The sequence below is a fragment of the Homo sapiens genome, chromosome 2 (genome assembly GCF_000001405.40).
Source record: "Homo sapiens chromosome 2, GRCh38.p14 Primary Assembly".
NCBI lineage: Eukaryota > Metazoa > Chordata > Mammalia > Primates > Hominidae > Homo > Homo sapiens.
Genome location: NC_000002.12, coordinates 180,690,353 through 180,712,020, shown reverse-complemented (window position 1 = coordinate 180,712,020; position 21,668 = coordinate 180,690,353). Strand labels below are relative to the sequence as shown.

Here is a 21,668-nt window from a genome sequence, read left to right as displayed (position 1 = left end):
TACATGTGGCCAACAAGTATATGAGAAATAGCTCAATAACACTGATGATATTGAGATATATTGAGAGAAATGCAAATCAAAATCACAGTGACCATCTCACACCATTCAGGATGGCTATTATTAAAAAGTAAAAACTAGGCCGGGCGCAGTGGCTCACGCCTGTAATCCCAGCACTTTGGGAGGCCGAGGCAGGCAGATCACGAAGTCAGGAGATCGAGACCATTCTGGCTAACACGGTGAAACCCCGTCTCTACTAAAAAATACAAAAAATTAGCCAGGCGTGGTGGCAGCCGCCTGTAGTCCCAGCTACTCGGGAGGCTGAGGCAGGAGAATAGCATGAATCCAGGAGGCAGAGCTTGCAGTGAGCCTAGATCACGCCAGTGCACTCCAGCCTGGGCAACAGAGTGAGACTTCATCTCAATAAAATAAAAAAAAAAAAAACACAGATACTGGCAAGGTCTTGGAAGCCAGTAATCTATTTGGAAAAAATAGAATGCTTCTACACTGTTGGTTGGAGTGTAAATTACTTCAACCATTGTGGAAAGCAGTGTGGTGATTCCTCAAAGACTTAAAAACAGAAATACCATTCAACCCAGCAATCCCATTACTGGGTATATACCCGAAGGAATATAAATCACTCTATCATAAAGACACATGCAAGCATATGTTCATTGAAGCACTATTTACAATAGAAAAAAACATGGAATCAACCTAAATGCCCATTAATGACAGATTGGGTAAAGAAAATGTAGTACATTTACACAATGGAATACTAAGCCGCCATAAAAAAGAATGAGATCATGTCTTTTGCAGGAACATGAATGGAGCTGGAGGCCATTATCTTTAGCAAACTAAGGTAGGAACAGAAAACTAGATATCATGTGTTATCATTTATAAGTGAGAGCTAAATGATGAGAACTCATGAACACAAAGAATGGAACAACAGACACTGGGGCCTACTTGAAGGTGGAGGGTGGGAGCAGGGACAGTAGCAGAACAAATAACTATTGGGTCCTAGGCTTAGTACCTGTGTGATGAAATAATCTGTACAACAAACCCCTGCAACATGAGTCTAGCTATATAATAAATCTGCACATATACCCCTGAACCTAAAATAAAAGTTAAAACAAACAAACAAACAAAAAATAGCGGCCATCCAACAGAATCTAAACAGACTATGGTACAGAAAATAGAAATGGAAGTCATGAAGAGAGAGAAGGGACCTTGCACCTCTATAAAGTAAATTGAGTTTTAGAGTAGAACTCAAGTTCAACTAGAGCAGCAAGCAAAAAGCTATTCTAGTGACAGTCAGAAAATGAATATAAAAAGATGTAGACAATAATTCCGTGGGAAAGGTACATTAAATATTTTTAAATAATTATTTATTTCTTTTACTACTAAAAAGTCAAGAATGACAGGAGGTAGATGAGATTTCTTTCCTTACAGTGATAGTCCTCTGTAACCAACTAATTATATGGAGACAAGTTATCAAGACTGAAAATTGTCTTGCTATCCTTTTAAATTTGCATATTATTAGTTCTTTTTGTTTTCAAAATTTGACTAAATTTTTCAAAATTTGGCAAAAAATAGAGATTCTAGATACTGTAAATATTTAACAGAACTTGTGTTAAAAATGATATAATAATTAAAATTAAATTATCACAATCATACCTTAGGTTTTACTTTGTAACCAAAAATTATTAAAGAGAAATGTGTTTAATTGATAAAGTTATAATTTATGAAGAATCTATTCTTCAAATTGTAAACTAAACATGGTAAATTTGTAAGCAAATGATTGAGCTATTCATCATATATTTACATGTTTATAACAAGCAGCAGACTTCTAGATTTCTTATGAGCGATAGAAGATTTAGTGTTCGACTCACGGATCTCTTTTTACCCTCATCTTGGGCGATATCATCCCTAATCCTAAATTTTGCTCTGTGGTATTATAACTAGAGGACACAGCACAACATTTTAAGGAAGATTGAAGCCTATGGGCTCAGATTGCTTGGAGTTTGAATCCTGGCTCCTAACTGTGTGACTCAATCAACTTACTAACTGTGACACTTAGCCTGAATGTCTACATTTATACAATTGCTCATAATAATTTCTGCTGTATAAGGTCATTCTGGCCATTAAATGGGATGACAAATGTAAAGTTCCTTGACTTCACTAAATGATCTGTAAATTAGAGATATTATTTACTATCTACACATGTAAGTCCCTGTGGGTGTTGCACAGGAACAACACATTCAGGCTGTCAAAATAGAATTTACTGTCTTCACATCTAAATTGACTTCTCTCTGAATTCCCTATCTAACTGTTTCAAATCTAATCTCCTAGATCTAACCAATCACTGAAACTAACAATTTTACTTTATATATGTCTACCACTGAAACTAACAATTTTACTTTATATATGTCTACCGTTGCCTTAGGTTAACCCTTCACCCTTGGCAGTCCTCAGTCTCTCACCTGCACTTCTGTATCAGCCTCTACTTTGTCCCCTTTATTCTAGTGCTCCACTTCCTTTTCCTTCTTCCCACTCCATGTTATTCATCCTCCGTAAAGCAGTCAGAGTGTTCCATCTAAAACACAAACCTAAATGGGTGACTCCCTTAGGAACTCCCAATGGTTTCCCCTCACTTATGGAAGTAAGTGAGCTCATAGTGTGATTTACAAACTTTAGGTCTCTTGTACGGCATCCAAGCTTTTACTTTATTATTTTCTTTTCCTCCAGGAAGGTATCCTTGTATCCCAAGTTAGGAAAAATATCATGCAGTTTGCCCACACACAGTCTATGATTTCCTCTCATTGATCACTTCTATATGGTATTGAAATCATTCTTGAGGATGTCTTCTCCACTTTACTGCAAGCTTCTAAATTGTTATGATGGCTTGCTCATCTTTGCACATTAAGGGCCTGATCCTTAGTAGGTTCTTAATGTTTCATGGAACTGTTGAACTTTATTTATTTTTTCTCAATATTTCTCTCTTCCTTTCTACCATCAAGAAATAAAAGGAAAGAAGATTCTGTCTCTTACATTTTCCATACTTTTGGAAATACCACAGCTCTGTTTCTATCATTTTCCACTATTCTATTTCAGGAATTGGGATGCTGGGGCGAAAACACCTTACAAAAGTCCCATAATGCAAATCTTTGTGAAAAATTGGTCATCTACAGACCATTCTGAAGATCCAGAACCAAACTTAGAAAGAATTGAGCAAGCTCAGGGAATCTGAATTTGCCCAGAAAAAGCAAAACTAAGAAGCAAACGAAACCCATTACAGGTAAGGAGGAGAGGAAGATATAGTCTTCTCTGAGGCTAGACCAATTTAGATGACCTCTAAAGCTGTGCTGTCCAACATGGAAGCCACTAGCCACGTATGTTTATTGACCACATGAAATGTGGCTTCTAACTGAAATAAGACATGCTCAAACTGTAAAACACACCATCTTCAAAAGACTTAGTACAAATAATGAAAAATACCTCACTAATAATATTCTAATATTTATTATATGCTGAAATGATACCATTTTGGATATATTGGGTTAAATCAGATATATGATTGAAATAAATTTTACCTATTTATTGTTACTTTTCTTACTGTGGCTGCTAGAAAATTTAAAACTATATATATGGCCTACATTGTATTTCTATTGGACAGCTCTAGAAGATGGAATAACACCCTATAATTATGTCTTCTACGAGGATTTGAAACACGGAATACATATCTTCAGTCAAAATCCCTGAGATGCTCCTTTGGGAATCTAATATCTTGTTTAGGCAGGGTCATTGAAGAACCAACTTGTATACTTAGGAGTTCCTACAGCTAAGTGTGAAGAAAAACCAACCTCCACAAGTCAGGTATTAATAGCATTCTTAGGCAGATCTACTTCTAATTTCTCCTTTTGGGGAGACCTGGGATTCAGTTGAACAGTCACATGTTCCCCATGGCTGAGTCACTTCCAATGGGGTATGAACAATGGTTGGGCAACTACTGAATGTCTGCTAAGCCAGCATGTGGCTAATTGGCCATATGCCCAGATTATTACAGCTCCCTTTGGGTCAGTAACAATCCTGGTTCTTGGGTGAATAACAGCTCACCTCTCTGAGGTGAATTAACTCTTTCAGGGCACTAGGGCACTATTTAGAACACTGGAAAAAAAAGTAATTTATTCAATGACCCTCTAAGGATACGCTGGAGTGCAGAGAGGAAGCTCAGCAATTTGAAGCTCACATAGCAATTCTGCAAAGCCAATTAGGGGAACAAGACAAATTAGACGGAAGTGGGCAAAGTCCAATTGAGATATAAAGACAGTTTATGTGAGCAGGATGTAATTGCCTAAGTGGGAATTTGGCTAAGAAAATGAGGCTTTTCTGAGAAGGACCTTGGAAGGAAAGAATAAAGCATGGTAAGAACTCAGTTCTATACAAAAACAGTTTGTATGCTTTCTACTTTAAAAATAACATTTTCAAAGTGTTGAGGATTTTCTGCATTTTTCCACTTTATTTGAGCTACTACACCCCATTTTTGAATACTAAACTGGAAGTCAGGAAACTTGGCTTCAAACCACAGTGCTACTGTTAACTAACCATGTAACCTTGGGCAGGTTTCTTTCCCTTTATGGTTCTTATTTTCCCCATTTATTACATGATGTTAGAGATTGTGTTGAGATACGGATGCTTTTAGATAAGATTAGGTGGAAGGACCCAGGAATGCCCAATCCTACCCTAGACCAGAGCCACTGGTAGGGAGATATATAAGCAAGGAATGATAGCCCAAGGAACAGACAAGCACTTTACTGGTAGCTGGGCTTTTTGTCCCAAAGTCCAAAAATAGCTCCGGTAAACTGGGCTAGAGCATATAGCCCAAGTTTCCATATGCCTGAAACCCTAAAGCAGAATTTTACCACACTCTTACTGGCTGCAGGAAGGAAATGAAGAGAGTGCAAGTGATTTGTTTTGCTTTTTAAAAAAATAGGCTTTTGGTATGTCCCTTCCTTGTGTTACAAGAGAGATCTAATGCACAGTGGATGCATTTCTGCATTCCTCATTTCTGCATGTTACCAGATGGCCTCATTAGACTCATCAGCCTTAGCTGATTAGGTCTCCTTCTTGAGGAGGAGTGAGAAAGTGGTGGGGGAGTTCATCAGGGAGGAGAGATATGGAGAGTTTTTCTTTTTCAGAAGACTCCTGTTTCTTCTACTTCTACTGCTATATCATTATGCTTTCTTCATGAAAGTCTGAGACCCTTTGCTTTCACCTTAGTTATTAGGCAGTCTTCTATTTTGCATTTTTAAGACAGAACAGAAAAATTTCCTGTTGATTGCTTGCTTTTCTTACCTAGGCATTTTTTGAAATCTTTTGAGAAAGCTTACTAAAGACCCCTATCTTGATAATTTAGATTAATAGCTCCTTTGACAATCAAGCAATAATAATGATATTCATCACTATCACTCATGCAGTACTTATTATGTGTCAGATGCCGTTCTAAGTGCCACAACATATCAATGCATTTAATCCTTACAACAAGCCTAGGACGTGTTTTAATTATAATTGGCATTTCTATTTTACTGATATGAATACTGAGGCACAGAGAGGTGATGCAACTTGTGCCAGGTGTCATGGATAATGGGTAGCAGAGTCAGGATCTAAACCCAGAGTCATGGCACTTAGCCACCAGTTATACTGTTATTCAGTGTCAGTTTTATCCCTTTGGTTATACATTTTAATCACCTAATAGTTTCCATTTATAGAAAAAAATAGATTTAAAAGTTTAAAATCCCACTTTCATATTAATTTAATTCACATAAAGTGCTTCCAGTTGTATGTAAACAGCTTATACACAAGTGAACAGTGATTATTAAAGTGCTGTAATTAAGAACACATGAACATATTTATATTTGTTGTAGCTAATGTTTTAATTGCATAATAAAATTTTGATAATACACTGTAGTAATTATAAAACATCTGAAAGTTTTATTTTATGCAAAAATGTAGTATAATCATGGAATCTAATGATGTTTAGTGCCTCTATTTTCACCAACTTTTTTTCAGACAGGCAGAGATATAACATGCAAGTCACTCACTCAAAATTAAGCATAACATGCATCACTGACCTATGCCATGTTCTTGTCATTCGTTAAGTTGCAAAATTCAGCAACTTACAATGAGTATTACTACTATTGTACTGGTGAGTTAATATGATTTGTGAAAAAAGTCATCCCTTAGATGTCTAGCAGAGGGATGACACACTTCAGGAACTTGTTTTGGTAAAGGATTTTCATTTACTATACCTCTTAAGTGAGAAATTCTGAGGCCCTTACATCAGCCAGTGGCAGTGTGGCACACAAAAGGGCAGCAGTTTGAGTGTCAAGTGTTCTAAATAATGCAGCAGGTAACTACCTCATCAGGGTTTCAAAATCCCTTAATGCTCATTTGAATTTTTATTTACAAACACTTACCTAATACAAACCTTCCATTTTTGTCACAATTAAATGCAAAAAGCTTGTGATTTGGATTCTGAAATTAGAACCTTATCCTCCTAGCTCTTTTCACCCACATAGTTTATAAACACTAAACATTGTTTTTATCTTCTCTGACTTGAAAGATTATCCTGAACAGGAGTAGAAATGTAAGGCCTCTGTGAGTCACATTTTCTATAATGATTTTGAAAAAATATCTGCAACTTCCTTTCCCATGTGTGACTTGATTACATGTTGCTTTGTCATCTAGGTTGAATATGCATTGTGGGTGTAAAAATAAGTATCCTGACATAAGCAAAAGGCTTATTTTTCAAATACCATCATTTTCTTATTTTCTGTATAATTTTTGTTGTCACCCCTGGGTCTCCATTTTTACTTTACTTTTTATTTTCTTGTCTTACTTTTCTCTGTTTTTAAAATCTTATTTCGGTCTTTTCCTTCCTCACTCTTTTATTTCTGTAATTCATCATGTTAAAGGAATACCCTGTGGGTTGGAGGTTAAGAGGAATGGAGGGTGAGTGAGAAGAATGGGCAGAGGGAGGTAGCAATATATTTTAATTGTCACCATCTAGTAGAAGCAGTGAGACATCATCTTTTCAATGCTGAAACGCTGCAAACCAAAAGTAATTCTGGGTACAAAACTGCAGCTAAAATTGCCACATTAGCTAAATGAATAAAAAAGCAAGATCCAAGTATATGTTGCTTATCAGTGACTCAACTTCAACTTAAAGGACTCTCATAGTCTGAAAGTGAAGGGATGGAAAAAATATGCAAAGGAAGACAAAAAGAGAGCAAAAGTAGCTACACTTATTTCAGAAAATAAACTTCAGGTCAAAAACTGTAAACAGATACAAAGAAGGTCATTAAATAGTGATAAATGAGTCAATTTATCAAGAGGATTTAACAATTTTAAGTATATATGTGCCCAACATCAGAGCACCTAAATATATAAAGCAAATATTAAAAGATCTAAAGGAGACACAGACTGCAACATAGTGGTAGGAAATTTGAACATCCCACTTTCAACATTGGACAGATCATCTAGGCTGTAAGTCAATAAGGAACCATTGGACTTGAACTATACTTTAGACCAAATGGACTTAATAGACATATACAAAATATTCCACCCAACAGCAACAGGATACACATTCTTTCAAGTGCTCATGGAAAATTCTCCAAGATAGATCATATATTAGGCCATAAAACAAGTCCTAACAAATTTAAGAAGATCAAAATCATATCAAATTTCTTTTCCAATCACAATGGTATAAAATTAGAAATCAATAAAATGAATTATGGACAATTAACAGTGGAAGTTAAATAATATGCTCCCAAAAAACTACTGGGATAAAGAAGAAATAAAAGGAGAAATTTTAAAAATATCTTGAGACAAATAAAAATGGAAACACAACATACCAAAACTTACTAGATGCAGCAAAAGAAGTTCTAATAAATAAGTTTATAATAATATATGCTTACATCAAGAAAGATGAAAAATATCAAATAAACAACCTAACATTATATCTCAAGAGACTAGAAAAATAAGAACCAACTAAGCCCAAAGACAGCAGAAATGAAAGAGGAGACATTACAATGATAATCCAGGAAGTCTCATAAGAGACTAATATGAACGATTATATGCCGAAAAACTCAACAATCTCAAGAAAAGAATACATTCCCTGAAACATATAACCTACTGAGGCTGAATCATAAAGAAATTGGAAATCTGAACAAATAATTAATAAGGATATTGAATTAATAATTGAAAAAAAGCCAGTGAACAGATGTCTTCACAGCTGAATTGTACCAAGCATTTAAAGAACCAATACCAATCTTTCTCAAACTTTTCCATGAAACTAAAGAGGAGAGAATATTTCAAAACCAATTTTATGAGGCAAGCATTATCCTGATAACAAAGCTAGCAAATAAACTAAAAAGAAGGAAAACTAGAGGTCAATATCTTGATGAAGATAGATGCAAAAATTCTCAATAAAATACTAGCAACCCGGCCAGGCACTGTGGCTCACGTTTGTAATACCAGCACTTTGGGAGGCCAAGGAGGATGGATCACAAAGTCAGGAGTTTGAGACCAGCCTGACCAACTGGTGAAACCCCATCTCTAGTAAAAATACAAATATTAGTCTGGCGTGGTGGTGCACGCCTGCAATCCCAGCTATTCAGAAGGCTGAAGGGAGGAGAATCATTTGAAACCGGGAGGCAGAGGTTGCAGTGAGCCGAGATCACACCACTGCACTCCAGCCTGGGTGACAGAGTGAGACTCCATCTCAAAAATAAATAAATAAATAAATAAAAATAAGAGCAAACCATATGCAATTGTACATTAAAAGAATCATTCACCACAATTACGTGGGTTTTATCCCTGGAATGTGAAGTTGGTTGAATATATGCAAATCAATAAATGTTACTCATCATATTAAAAGAATGAAGAACAAAAGGCATATGATCTTCTCAATAGATGCAGAAGAAGCATTTGCCAAAATTCAACATCATTCCATGATAAAAAGTCTCAACAAATTAGGTATAGAAGGAATGTTCCTCTGTGCAATAAAGGTCATGTATAAGCCCATAGCTAACATCATATTCGATACTGAAAATTTGAAGGCTTCTCCTTTAAGGTCAAGAACAAGACAAGAATTCCTACTTTCTCCACTTCTTTGTGACACAGTGTAATACTAGAAGACTTAGCCACAGCAATTAGACAAGAGGAAAAAAATAAAAGGCATCCAACTAGAAAAGAATGAAGTGAAATTGTCTGTTTACTAACAACATGCTCTTGTATGTAGAAAATTCTAAAGACCCCGCCAAGAAAGTGTTAGAATTGTACAATGAATTTAGTAAAGTTGCAGAATACAAAAGCAATATACTAAAATTAGTAGCATTTCTGTACATTAACAAAGTACTATCTGAAAAAAATAAGCGTAAAAAATACTTAGGAGTAAATTTAACCAAGAAAGTGAAAAATATAAATACTGAAAATGATAAAATGTTGATTAAAGAAATTAAAGGTGCTATAAATAATAGAAAGATATTTTATGTTCATGGAGTGGAAAAAAATGTTAAAATGTTCGTACCAAAATTCTTTACAGATTCAGTGCAATCCCTAGCATAGTTCCAATGTCATTTTTCACAGTAATAAAAAATTCTAAAATTTCTATGAAACCACAAAAATCCTGAATAGCCAAAGCAATCTTGACCAAAAATAACAAAGGGAGTGACATTACACTATGGGATTTCAAAAAATATATATATATTTATATATATTATAATGTATGTTATATATATTTATATATGTATATACATATATTATAATATATACTTATATATAATACATACTTATATATAATAATGTATATTATATACATTATAATATATACATATATTATAGTATATATACTTCAATATTATAATGTATATTATAATAATGTATATTATTATAATGTATATTATAATAATGTATATTATAATAATGTATATTATATTATAATAATGTATATTATAATAATGTATATTATATTATAATAATGCATATTATATAATGTATATAATGTATACTATATATGTATATTATAATAATGTATATAACATACATGTATATATATACATGTATATATACATGTATAGTATATATGTGTATATATACATGTATATATACATGTATAGTATATATGTATATATATACATGTATATATACATGTATAGTATATATGTATATATATACATGTATATATACTATACATGTATACATAATATATATACATGTATATATATACATGTTATATATACATGTATAGTATATATACACATGTATATTATATGTATATATTATAACATATACATGTATATTATATATTATTTATATCATAGATATTATTTATATATAATAAATATATATTAATATAAATATTTATATTAATATATAATAAATATTATTTATATTATATATATTTATATTATATATAATATAAATAAATACATAATATATTATATATAATATATATTATATAAATATATATTATATATAATATATACAATATATTATATTGTTATAGATATTATATATAATATATTATAATATATACATTATACATATTATATACTATACATATATAATATATAATATACTATACATATATAATATATATTATATACTATACATATATTGTATATTATACATATATTGTATATTATACATATATTGTATATATTATATATTATACATATATTGTATATATTATATACATTATACATATATAATGTATATATACATTATACATATATAATGTATATATACATTATACATATATAATGTATATATACATTATACATATATAATATGTATATAATATATACAATATACATTATAATATATGTGAGCATATGTAAGTATATATTATGATATATACTTATATACAATAATATACATTATAATATATAAGTATATATAAAGTATATACTTTATATATACATTATAATATATAAGTACATATAAAGTATATTTAATATACATTATAATATATATATTATAAAACTACAGGTATCATAATAGACAGTACTGGCATAAAAACAGACATATCTGCCAACAGTTTAGAGAGCCCAGAAATAAACCCACACATATACAGTCAATTGATTTTATGTTTTCTTTTCTTATTTTACATGTTATGTGACATGGCAAAAGTCAATTAATTTTCTACAAAGGTGCCAATAGCATACAATGGGGAAAGGACCATCTTTTCAATAAATAGTATTGGGAAACTGGATGTCTACATGAAGAAGAATCAAAATGGTCCCCTGTGTCACCCATTACACTAGAATCAAGTCAATATGGATTAAAGACTTAATTGTAAAAGCTGTAACTATAAAACTACTAGAAGAAAACAGAAGAAAAGCTCCATGACATTTGTCTTAGTAGGTATTTCTTGGATATGACCCCAAACACGTAAGCAATGACAGCAAAATTAGACAAATGGGATTGCATCAAACTGGAAACCTTTTGCACAGCAAGGGAAACAATTAATAAAGAGAGAATCCACAGATTGGGAGAAAAATATTGACAAATCATACATTGGATAAAGGGCTAATATCCAAAAATATGCAAGAAACTCAACATACTCAATAAGAAGAAAACAAATCACCTGATTTTAAAAATACTGAAGGATGTGAATAGACATTTCTCAAAAAAACAAAAACAAAATAAAACAAACAAACAAAAATACAAATGGCCAAAATGATGGCAACAGTGACTCACGTGGTGCTGCCACTGCAAAGATGCTGGCTGCAGCAGGGGAGGTGTGGCTGGGGCTGCAAGCTCCAGGAAGCCAGAGGGAGCCAGGAACAGGCAGGAGCCCTGCCCTCCTGAGCATAGGAGCAGCTGCCCAGCTGTGACTATGCACCCAGGCATCTCTGCATTCTTGGGGGCCTGGGAAGCTCCCCTGACCCTGCAGGCTCGGAAGTGCCTGCTCCTGTTGCTGGGCCTCTCTCTGCTCCCTGCACCTTCTCCAATTTTGTGACAAAGTCGAGGCCAAGCCCTGGCATTGTCATGGCTGGGCCAGGTGTGCACACACTTGGAGCAGTGCTGACATGCCAGCCCCTGCCACCTTGTCCCCCTCCAGACTTTGGGCACCAGTGAGCATGGGAGAGAGGCCAAGGGGAGGCTGAGGGCAGCTTGGCATGGGTCTGCAGGTGCCCCTCAACACAAACAGCCTGGGTGCCATGGGTGCTGTGGGGGCGGGTTGATGATGGCAAGAGGCAGACACACTTCTGTGCAGAAAGGTGTGTGTCCCTGGTGAAGCCCCACCTTCAAGCCAGGGATGGCCTGCACCCTGGGGGCCAGGCTGTCAGTTCTGGGTGGAGTCCATAGGGGGAGTGAGAACTTATGGTGATTTTTCTGGGCCCGCACATGGCTGCCCAGGGACCAACTGGCATGCACTTCCTCCCTTCTGAAACCCATAAAAACCCCAAATTCAGCCAGACTCACAGAGACGACAGGACAACCTGCCAGCAGATAGGAGGTAACCACTTCGGGCTTCCTCACCACTGAGGACTGCACACTCATCATGATGACCTGCCTGCAGATAGGAGGTACCCACACCAGGTCTTCTCTCTGCTGAGGCCTGCACTCATTGGGGTGACCTGTCTAAAGAAAGGAGCTACTGACTTTGAGTCTCCTGAGAGCTGTTTTGTTGCTCAATAAAGCACCTCTTCACCTTGCTCACCCTCCAGTTGTCCATATACCTCATTCTCCCTGGACATGGGACAAGAACTTGGGACCCACTGAATGGTGGGAGTGAAAGAGCTTTAACACAAACAGGGCTGAAACATTCCCCCCAACTCACCACATTGAGGGTGATAAGAAGGAGAGAAGAGCTGCGGCCCTTCCAGAAGCCCAGACTTAGGGGTTCCCTGAGCCAGGGCTGTGACACCTTATTTGGGGCTCTGCGGTTTCTGGCATCTCCAAGCTTCTGGGCACCACTGCATCCCCTTTGTCCAGATGGAGGTGCCCACAGCAGAAGGCGCTTGTGGTGCATCTGGTCCAGCTGCAGCCTTGCACAGAGCTGGCACCTGTGCCAACATCTGGAGCTGCCTGCTCGGCTGCATCTGGCTTGCCTGGCTGTGTGCAGTGGCAGGACCCTGTGCTCACTCACACACCCCTCACCACCCTGCACCTAGCTCTCCCTTGGCAGGTGTGGGATCTCAGCCAGTAGTGCAAACTGAGTGCTGCTTGCCAGGCTGAGTGGGCAGAACAAGCCCAGTGGGCCTGAGCAAAACTTGGGCAAAGGTGCCACCAGCCACAGAGGTTTCTGGCTGGTGAAACGACACTCCAAGGATCCTGTGACAAATAGATGTATGAAAATATCCTCAACATCATTAATCATCAGAGAAATGCAAATTAAATCCCCAATGAAGCATCATCTCATACTAGATTGAGTCTTATTAAAAAGTTGAAAGACAACAAAGGTCAGTTAAGGATGTGCAGAAATTGTGGTATTGTAAATTAGTACAGTCATGGCAAACAGTATAAAGGTTCCTCAAAAAACTAAACATAGAATTATCACATGATCCAGCAATCCCACTTCTGGGTATATACCCAAAGAAACTGAAATCGGCATGTTCATTGCAGCATTATTCACAGTAGTCAAGATATGGAAACAACCTAAGTGTCTAACAAGAGATGAATGGATTTTAAAAATGTGGCATATATACACAATGGAATACTACTCAGCCAACTGGCATATAGCAGCTGTTCAGTATCTGTACATGTAATCTAAATGTTACAAAATTTCTGCCATACTATTCCTGTGGTAGTGAATGTTTCACAAAATCTGATGGTTTTATAAGGGGTTTCCACTTTCGCTTCTGTCTCATTTTCCTTCTTGCCTGCTGCCACGTAAGGAAGTCCCTTGCTCTTCCGCCATGATTGTGAGTCCTCCCAGCCATGTGGAACTGTGAGTCAATTAAATCTCTTTCATTTATAAGTTACCCAGTCTCAGGTGTGTCTTTATTAACAGCATTAGAACAGACTAATACAATTTGCATTCTCAACATAATCAACTTGTTCAAACCTCCCTCTTATACAAATAACCACATCCCTGGGTCCTACCTCCTCTAGGAGCTGTCCCCCCTCTTTTTCCTCTTGCTTGCTTCCTCTTCATGGCATCACTTTCTCCTCTCTTTCTTCCCCCAGCACGCTGCCATCAGTCTCTCTCATCTCAGCTTCTTCCTTGCAACTACTTCTTTATTTAGGTGATCTTTCTTCAATCTTTATGTTAATTTACTTCTCTGTAGTTCTCAAATATCTTAAATGACTTTGACTTTCTTGAAATTCTTTCTCTTTTTTCTGTAAAGTATTCTTCTCTTCTTCAGCTTTTCTGGATGTGTTTTTAAAGTTGGCTGTATAGATTTACATTCCTTCAATAGTAGTTATGCATGTGTTTTTTCCTAATATGCTTTCCTGGAGCTGTTTCTCTTCAAATATTTTCCCTAGATATCTTCCACATACATAAATTTAATAATCTTTTTCACTCCAGTGACTTTAAAATCCATATCACAGCCCAAATCTCATTTAATAAGCTCCAGGCCAGCATTCAACACAATATATTTATTTTCTTCCCCCCAAATTACCCCTCCTCTTTCTTCTCTTATTTTTGGCTAGGGTCAATAATATCTCGTCTAGTTATCTTTACAAAAAAAAGCAAATCTGAGACCAGATTTTGTATTTGAGTATTCCTTCTCATTCACCTTCTCCATAGAATTTGTCTTGAGTTGAATCTGATTCTACTGCTTTAGTATCTGTAGAATCTTCTCTCCTACAGTGACTGACTCAGTTGAGGTCTTCACCTTTACTATATCAGTCTTCTAATTTATCTCCCTGTGTCCATTTTGTATTCATTTCAATTCTTCCTCATTTCTCATTCTAAAAGACTACGACCATGTCAGTACCTTGCTTAAAAGCCTTTTACAATTCCTCATGACACACAGAGTTAGATTTGGGTGTCTAGCATGTCAATGAGTCCTTTGTAATGTGACATCACCTCACCAAGTCCCACCCGACTCCATCTGACTCTCCCCCTTGCCCGGTACTTTCCCTATCCCATCAGGAGGACAAGTTCACATACTGGTGCTTTTGTCCAAGCCACATTTTCTACACTTTCTACCTGGGTTCACCCCCAGGCTCATTGCCCCTTGTGCCCAAAAAGACACATACTACTCATATCCTGGAAACAACTACATCTTTGTTTTTCCACCTCAGTTCAGGATTTTGGAGATCTCCTTAACATGCCAGATCTGGTTTGGATGCTCTCTTACACGATTCTGTGACACCAAATGATTTCCAATAATAAAGTTACATTTGTTAAATAAAAGGAGTATGTTGTGTACAATTTTGTAATTTAAGCACCTGGGACCATAACCAGCATGTAGCAGGTGTTCAGTACCTGTAAGCGTAATATAAACCTTACAAAATTTCTGCCCTTACACAAACACCCATCACCTTTTAAGAAAAATATTTAATGGCATCATTTCTTATATAATTTTTTAGAACTCCTATTTGGCTATACTTTCTCATTCTATTCACGAGGTCTCTTAAATATATAGTTAGGCACCACATAACACCATTACTGTATATATCATGGTGGTCTCATAAGATTGTACTACTATATTTTATTGTACTTTTCTATGTTTAGATACACAAATACTTACAATTGTGTTATAATTGCCTACAGTATTCTGTACAGTAACACGACATGCAGGCTTGTAGCCTAGAAGCAATAGGCTGTACCACATAGCCTGGGTAAATCTAGCAGGCTATGACATCTATTAAGTACACTCTGTGATGTTTGCACAATGACAAAATTGCCTAATGATGTGTTTCTCAGAAGTGTATCCTCATTGTTAAGTGACACAGGACTGTATTTAAAATATTTTTGACATAAGGTTAAACACAATTAGAAGGATGAGATTTTATTTCTAAAAGCAAACTTACAAGATGGATGATTACAAAGATGTATCTTTAGAGACAACTAGAAGCCATCCATTTAAAGTGTGAAATGTCTGCTAGCTTCCATCACAATGACTAAATATTTCAAATATCTATTTTCTTAAGTAATTTTTTAAAATGTGTACTTCATTTAGGTGTCAGGAAAATGTACCATTTCATTTGATTAGTGTAAATCGAATTGCTGCAAACTGCTCTCTGAACCAACACCACGCTGTTTCAGAGGCGCATTAAGTAGTAAATCAACTTTATTGGAAATGCTGGGTCTCATCTTTTCAGAGGGAATGTTATGTACTTTTTCCAGAGGTGCAATAATTCTTTTACATTTCTGGAGTCTCTTTAGTAAATTGCTTCTGTTTAGTAAATTATCACTGCGCTAAGTAGCCCAAAGTAATGAAAGTATTATATTAAGAAGTGTCCAAAAGTCAGATCCCTGTGGTATTCCCTAGCTTTTAGCCGCATGTATTTAGTTTTCTCTTCTTATCCTCTCAGAGATTTCTCAGATACCTTTGCCAAACTTTTGACAAAGATCTGCCAGCATCCATTGGCCGGGCATTATGTTTTATGACCTGCTTCTGGGCTGTTTTTGGACTAAAAGACTGTCAATAATTAGAGCACAGTGAGGTGTTTAATGAAAGCATGCGATGCTGCATCCCAGGGATGAAAGCAATTGTTTGTGGCCAGAATCACACTTATGTGTATCTGTTGAATTAATTCATCTTCTATGGCGTTTCTCATTATGATAGAAAAATTTATCAGCAGCCTTATAAAGAGTAGGACTGGCTCAGTTTCACTTTTAAATGTGTTGCAATCACATGCTGTGAAGTGTGATTTTAAGTATTGCTCAGAAAACAATATTATGTTAAAAAAGCTCTGTCAGGTAGAAGAAGATGCATTTTAGATATGGAAAGCTTCCTTGATGGGCAGCATAAAGTATGTGTTAGGGAAGCTTTTTTCTTAAAGCAATTTAACCTAGCCCTTTCAACATAAGATGATTACTTCTGCTTTACTGAAAATGCACGTGTATTGAATCTGCTCAAATATGACAGCATGTGTTTTCTAATCTCTGGACATACACATATTAACCATTTTAACTGCCTTGTAGTATGACATTTTAGCCTACATGGTTTTAGAAACAGTCCTTGCTACATGCTTCACCAATTGCAACTTGCAGATTGAATGATCCTTTGAAAGCACTACCATAAATATTTCTGCAAATGAGTGATCTGTTCACATTACATCTGCTAATGCTATCTTATGGCAGAGCAAACAAATAGTTCAGACATCACATCACTGCACACGAGAACAGTAAGGGGCACTCTGGTGGGGTGTAGAACATCGTTTAGAATTGCATCAGTGATTGTCTTTGAGGAGCTAACCTGTCTTTTCAGAGACATATTTCTTGACAGCCTGTCACAGGGAGAGCTATGGATGTTCAGTGAACAAAGAATAATGCTAACATTGTATATGTTAAAAAGCCACAAACTTTAGTCTCAACAGCTTCTGACAAAATGTAAACATTTCCTTAGGGCTAATAGAATTTTGGAAAAAAAGAAGGATCACAAGAGATAAACACACTGACAATTGCAAAAAAAAAAAGATTATCGCATATAATTTATAACATTATTTATAATGAACTTCACAGCTGTTTTAAAATGATGACTGGGAAATTTACTTTATGTCTGAAATCTAAGCAGGTATTATAAGTTTTACCCTGATAGTTTCATTTCTCACAGCTTTCTCAGCAAAAGTTTACCAGAAATTGTTTATACCTTTCTCAGTCCAATGATTATTATTTTTATTTGTGAAACAAGAAATAATTAAAATATTTTCCATTTTGATGTCAATGTGAGATGTACTTCTGCATGAATGGCTAAAAATGGCTGACCTTTTTAAGATCTGTCTTTGCAGAAAAAGATTCATTGTAGTTTTCAAAGGAAAGAAACTTAAATGGGAAATATAACTTTATGTTTTAAAGTAACTCAACAAACTTTGGAAAATAGACCAATAAATTTTTTATGATCAGTCATATCATGTCATGTCATCTTCAGAATGAGTTGATCACAGCTAAAGATACAATATTCATAGAGTCAATCTTCTCATTTCCATAGCACAGCCAATAATCTGCCAATGAAAGGGCCTTTAGTACTCATTTGTACAGGATGCAAATGTTTCGGCTTGGCAGCTTGAAATGAAAGTTTCATTTTTAAAATCAAATAAAGATCATTAATGCTCACATGAATCAACAAATTCTAGAAGTCTTATAACATGTGCTAGCTGCATTTCCCATGAGTTAGACTAAATAAGCTGTTCATTTCTCAGCTATGTTTTTCTGCTTTTGAGATTTTTAAGATGTCATCCTATAGGCAAATAAAACAAAAAAATAAAGAGATTGCTCTGTCAACAGAACTTTCCTGTTCTGAGGCTTACACAAAGGAAGCTTAACTAGTAGCTTTAGTACTTTGTGAAGAAAAAAATTATACTCAAAAAGATGGTTGTGTTATAATTAAGAAAGTTTTTAAAAAATGTTTTTAAAATAGAAAATGGAGCATAGAGAAGTTCTAGAATTTCTTCCAGTTGCACTGCTCACTGGGAGTAGGACAGAGCTCTTTTGATTTACAGACTCCTGCTTTTCCCTACTCTTGTGTCTTCCTCTATGACAATACTAGCTTCTGCTGCAAGGAACGGATGATGTTGGGTGACCTATTGAAATTTCAGCCGCCTCCTTTCTTCTTTTTATTTCTTTCTTCTGATTCCCCAAATTCTTTTCTCCTCAACCTAATACAAATATATTACAGAATAATTGACAGTCTTAGAGCACAAACTACCACTATTATGAGTATCATGAGACCATTATTATTATTATTTTGAGACGGAGTTTCGCTCCTGTGGCACAGGCTGAGGTACAGTGGCATGATCTCCACTCACTGAAAGCTCTCTCCCCCGGGGTTCAAGCAATTCTCCTAACCCAGCCTTCCAAGTAGCTGGGATTAAAGGCACCACCAAGCCCAGCCAATTTTTAGTAGAGATGGGGTTTCACCATGTTGGCCAGGCTTGAACTCCTGACCACAGGTGACCCACCTGCCTCGGCCTCCCAAAGTGCTGGGGTTACAGGCATGAGCCACTGCGCCCAGCCGAGACCAATATTCTGCTTTGAGAATTTGCTGTGGCATAAAATAAAATTAGCTAGATTAATGTTCATAGAACCTTACAGTATTCAAGAAAGTCACTACCAACATTGCCAAATAGATTTAAGCTAAGCACAAAGGGAAAAATATAGAAAAGCACAAATCACACAGTCCTGGTAACTGTCTTCTGAAAAGCTAATATAATTATCCTAATAGGTATATTTGATAGGCCCTTACTGTGCAGAAGTCTGTCCTAGGAGTTAAGAAATAATAGGATTCAATAAAAACATACTCCTCTTTCTTCCGCAAGGAAATTTCAGTCTGACCAATCAGGAGTTTGTGCCACACAGCCAGCACAGTGTTCACCTAGAAAAACTAGTCCAACCAAACAGTGATTCAGGGTACTCCTGTGACTAATTTATATTCTCACTCAGCTGGGGAAAACTCACCCTGAGGACTTGAAATTGTGTCCAGAACTGGTGGGTTCTTGGTCTCACTCACTTCAAGAATGAAGCCGCGGACCCTCGCAGTGAGTGTTACAGTTCTTAAAGGCGGCGTGTCCGGAGTTTGTTGCTTCTGATGTTCAGATGTGTTCGGAGTTTTTTCCTTCTGGTGGGTTCGTGGTCTCGCTGGCTCAGGAGTGAAGCTGCAGACCTTCGCGGTGAGTGTTACAGCTCTTAAGGCGGCGCGTCGGGAGTTGTTCGTTCCTCCCAGTAGGCTCGTGGTCTCGCTGGCTTCAGGAGTGAAGCTGCGGACCTTCGCGGTGAGTGTTACAGCTCATAAAAGCAGTGTGGACCCAAAGAGTGAGCAGTGGCAAGATTTATTGCAAACAGAGAAAGAACAAAGGTTCCACAGCTTGAAAAGGGACCCCATCAGGTTGCCACTGCTGGCTCGGGCAGCCTGCTTTTATTCTCTTACCTGGCCCCACCCACATCCTGCTGATTCGTAGAGCCGAGTGGTCTGTTTTGACAGGGCGCTGATTGGTGCGTTTACAATCCCTGAGCTAGACACAAAGATTCTCCAAGTCCCCACCAGACTCAGGAGTCCAGCTGGCTTCACCCAGTGGATCCTGCACGGGGGCTGCAGGTGGAGCTGCCTGCCACTCCCGCGCCCTGTGCCTGCACTTCTCAGCCCTTGGGTGGTCGATGGGACTGGGCACCGTGGAGCAGGGAGCGGCGCTCATCGTGGAGGCTCGGGCCTCACAGGAGCCCATGGAGGCGGTGGGAGGCTTAGGCATGGCGGGATGCAGGTCCCGAGCCCTGCACCGCGGGAAGGCAGCTAAGGCCCGGTAAGAAATCGAGCGCAGCGCCGGTGGGCTGGCACTGCTGGGGGACCCCGTACACCCTCCGCAGCCGCTGGCCCGGGTGCTAAGCCCCTCATTGCCCGGGGCCGGCAGGGCCGGCCGGCTGCTCCGAGTGCGGGGCCCGCCAAGCCCACGCCCACCTGGAACTCCAGCTGGCCCGCAAGCGCCAGGCGCAGCCCGGGTTCCCACTCGCGCCTCTCCCTCCACACCTCCCTGCAAGCTGAGGGAGCCGGCTCCGGCCTTGGCCAGCTCAGAAAGGGGCTCCTACAGTGCAGCGGTGGGCTGAAGGGCTCCTAAAGTGCCGCCAAAGTGGGAGCCAAGGCAGAGGAGGCGCTGAGAGCGAGCGAGGGCTGTGAGGACTGCCAGCACGCTGTCACCTCTCAAAATGACCCACTGAAAAGCCATATTTTACTGTCTTATCTCCCTCTCCTTGACTCTGAGAAACAAGGGGCTGAAATCCAGTATAACTCCACCTAAATGTATTCTCCTTAGCTCAGGTGTGCTGACTTGTTTCTAATACCACCCAGGGATTCAGGGATACTATTAGTGGTTTACTGTTAAGCAGCAATATCATAACAGGGAATACTTTCCTTGGCTATGGGTCTGTGTTTTGAAATACTATATAAAATACTTATAAGCATTACATCTGATTATTTAACACAGCAGCAGTCTTTCCTTATAAATACACACACACACACATACACACACACACACACACACAGGGAGAGAGAGAGAGAACAATGGAAGAGAGAAGAATATCTGTCTCATACCAACATCTTATGTTGTATCATTTCCCAGGCAACTGATGATTAAAGATAAATATATGCAAGCTGTACAATGACTGTAAACAGCCTATGATTCAGGAATAAACTACTTTCATGAAAAACTAATGGCCAGAATGCCTCTCTATATATGTACTAAGACTTGGAAGGAAGGAAGAAAGGAAGGAAAGAAGGGAGGGAGGAAGGGAGGGAGGGAGGAAACTGAAGAAGGTGAGAAGAGACCTATATTTTCCTACCAAATTAAATTTCCTGCATTAAAGGGAAAAGAAAACCTGGAGGTGATATTTTGGTTGGCCTCATACATCAAAAGGAACATTGTTCAGTTACATCTGGTATCAAATAAAAAGTGTTCATGTAACTTTAAGATTGACTGAGCCCCAATACCCTCTTCCAACCATGGTGAGTGATACTGCAAACTCCCTGGAATCCATTTTCTATCCGTTTGTTCAGTAT

The 21,668-nt window shown here is 37.4% G+C and overlaps 1 long non-coding RNA gene across 7 annotated transcripts in view; it reads right to left on the bottom strand.

Moving 5' to 3' along the window:
* Nucleotides 1–19,917, bottom strand: part of SCHLAP1 (SWI/SNF complex antagonist associated with prostate cancer 1) — a 224,836-nt gene extending 204,919 nt beyond the window's left edge. For all 7 annotated transcript variants that reach the window (NR_104322.1, NR_104325.1, NR_104324.1 and 4 more), the window contains exon 1: nt 19,580–19,917. This is a non-coding gene — a long non-coding RNA (SWI/SNF complex antagonist associated with prostate cancer 1). The remainder of the gene's footprint in view (nt 1–19,579) is intronic.
* Nucleotides 19,918–21,668: the final 1,751 nt, after the last annotated feature.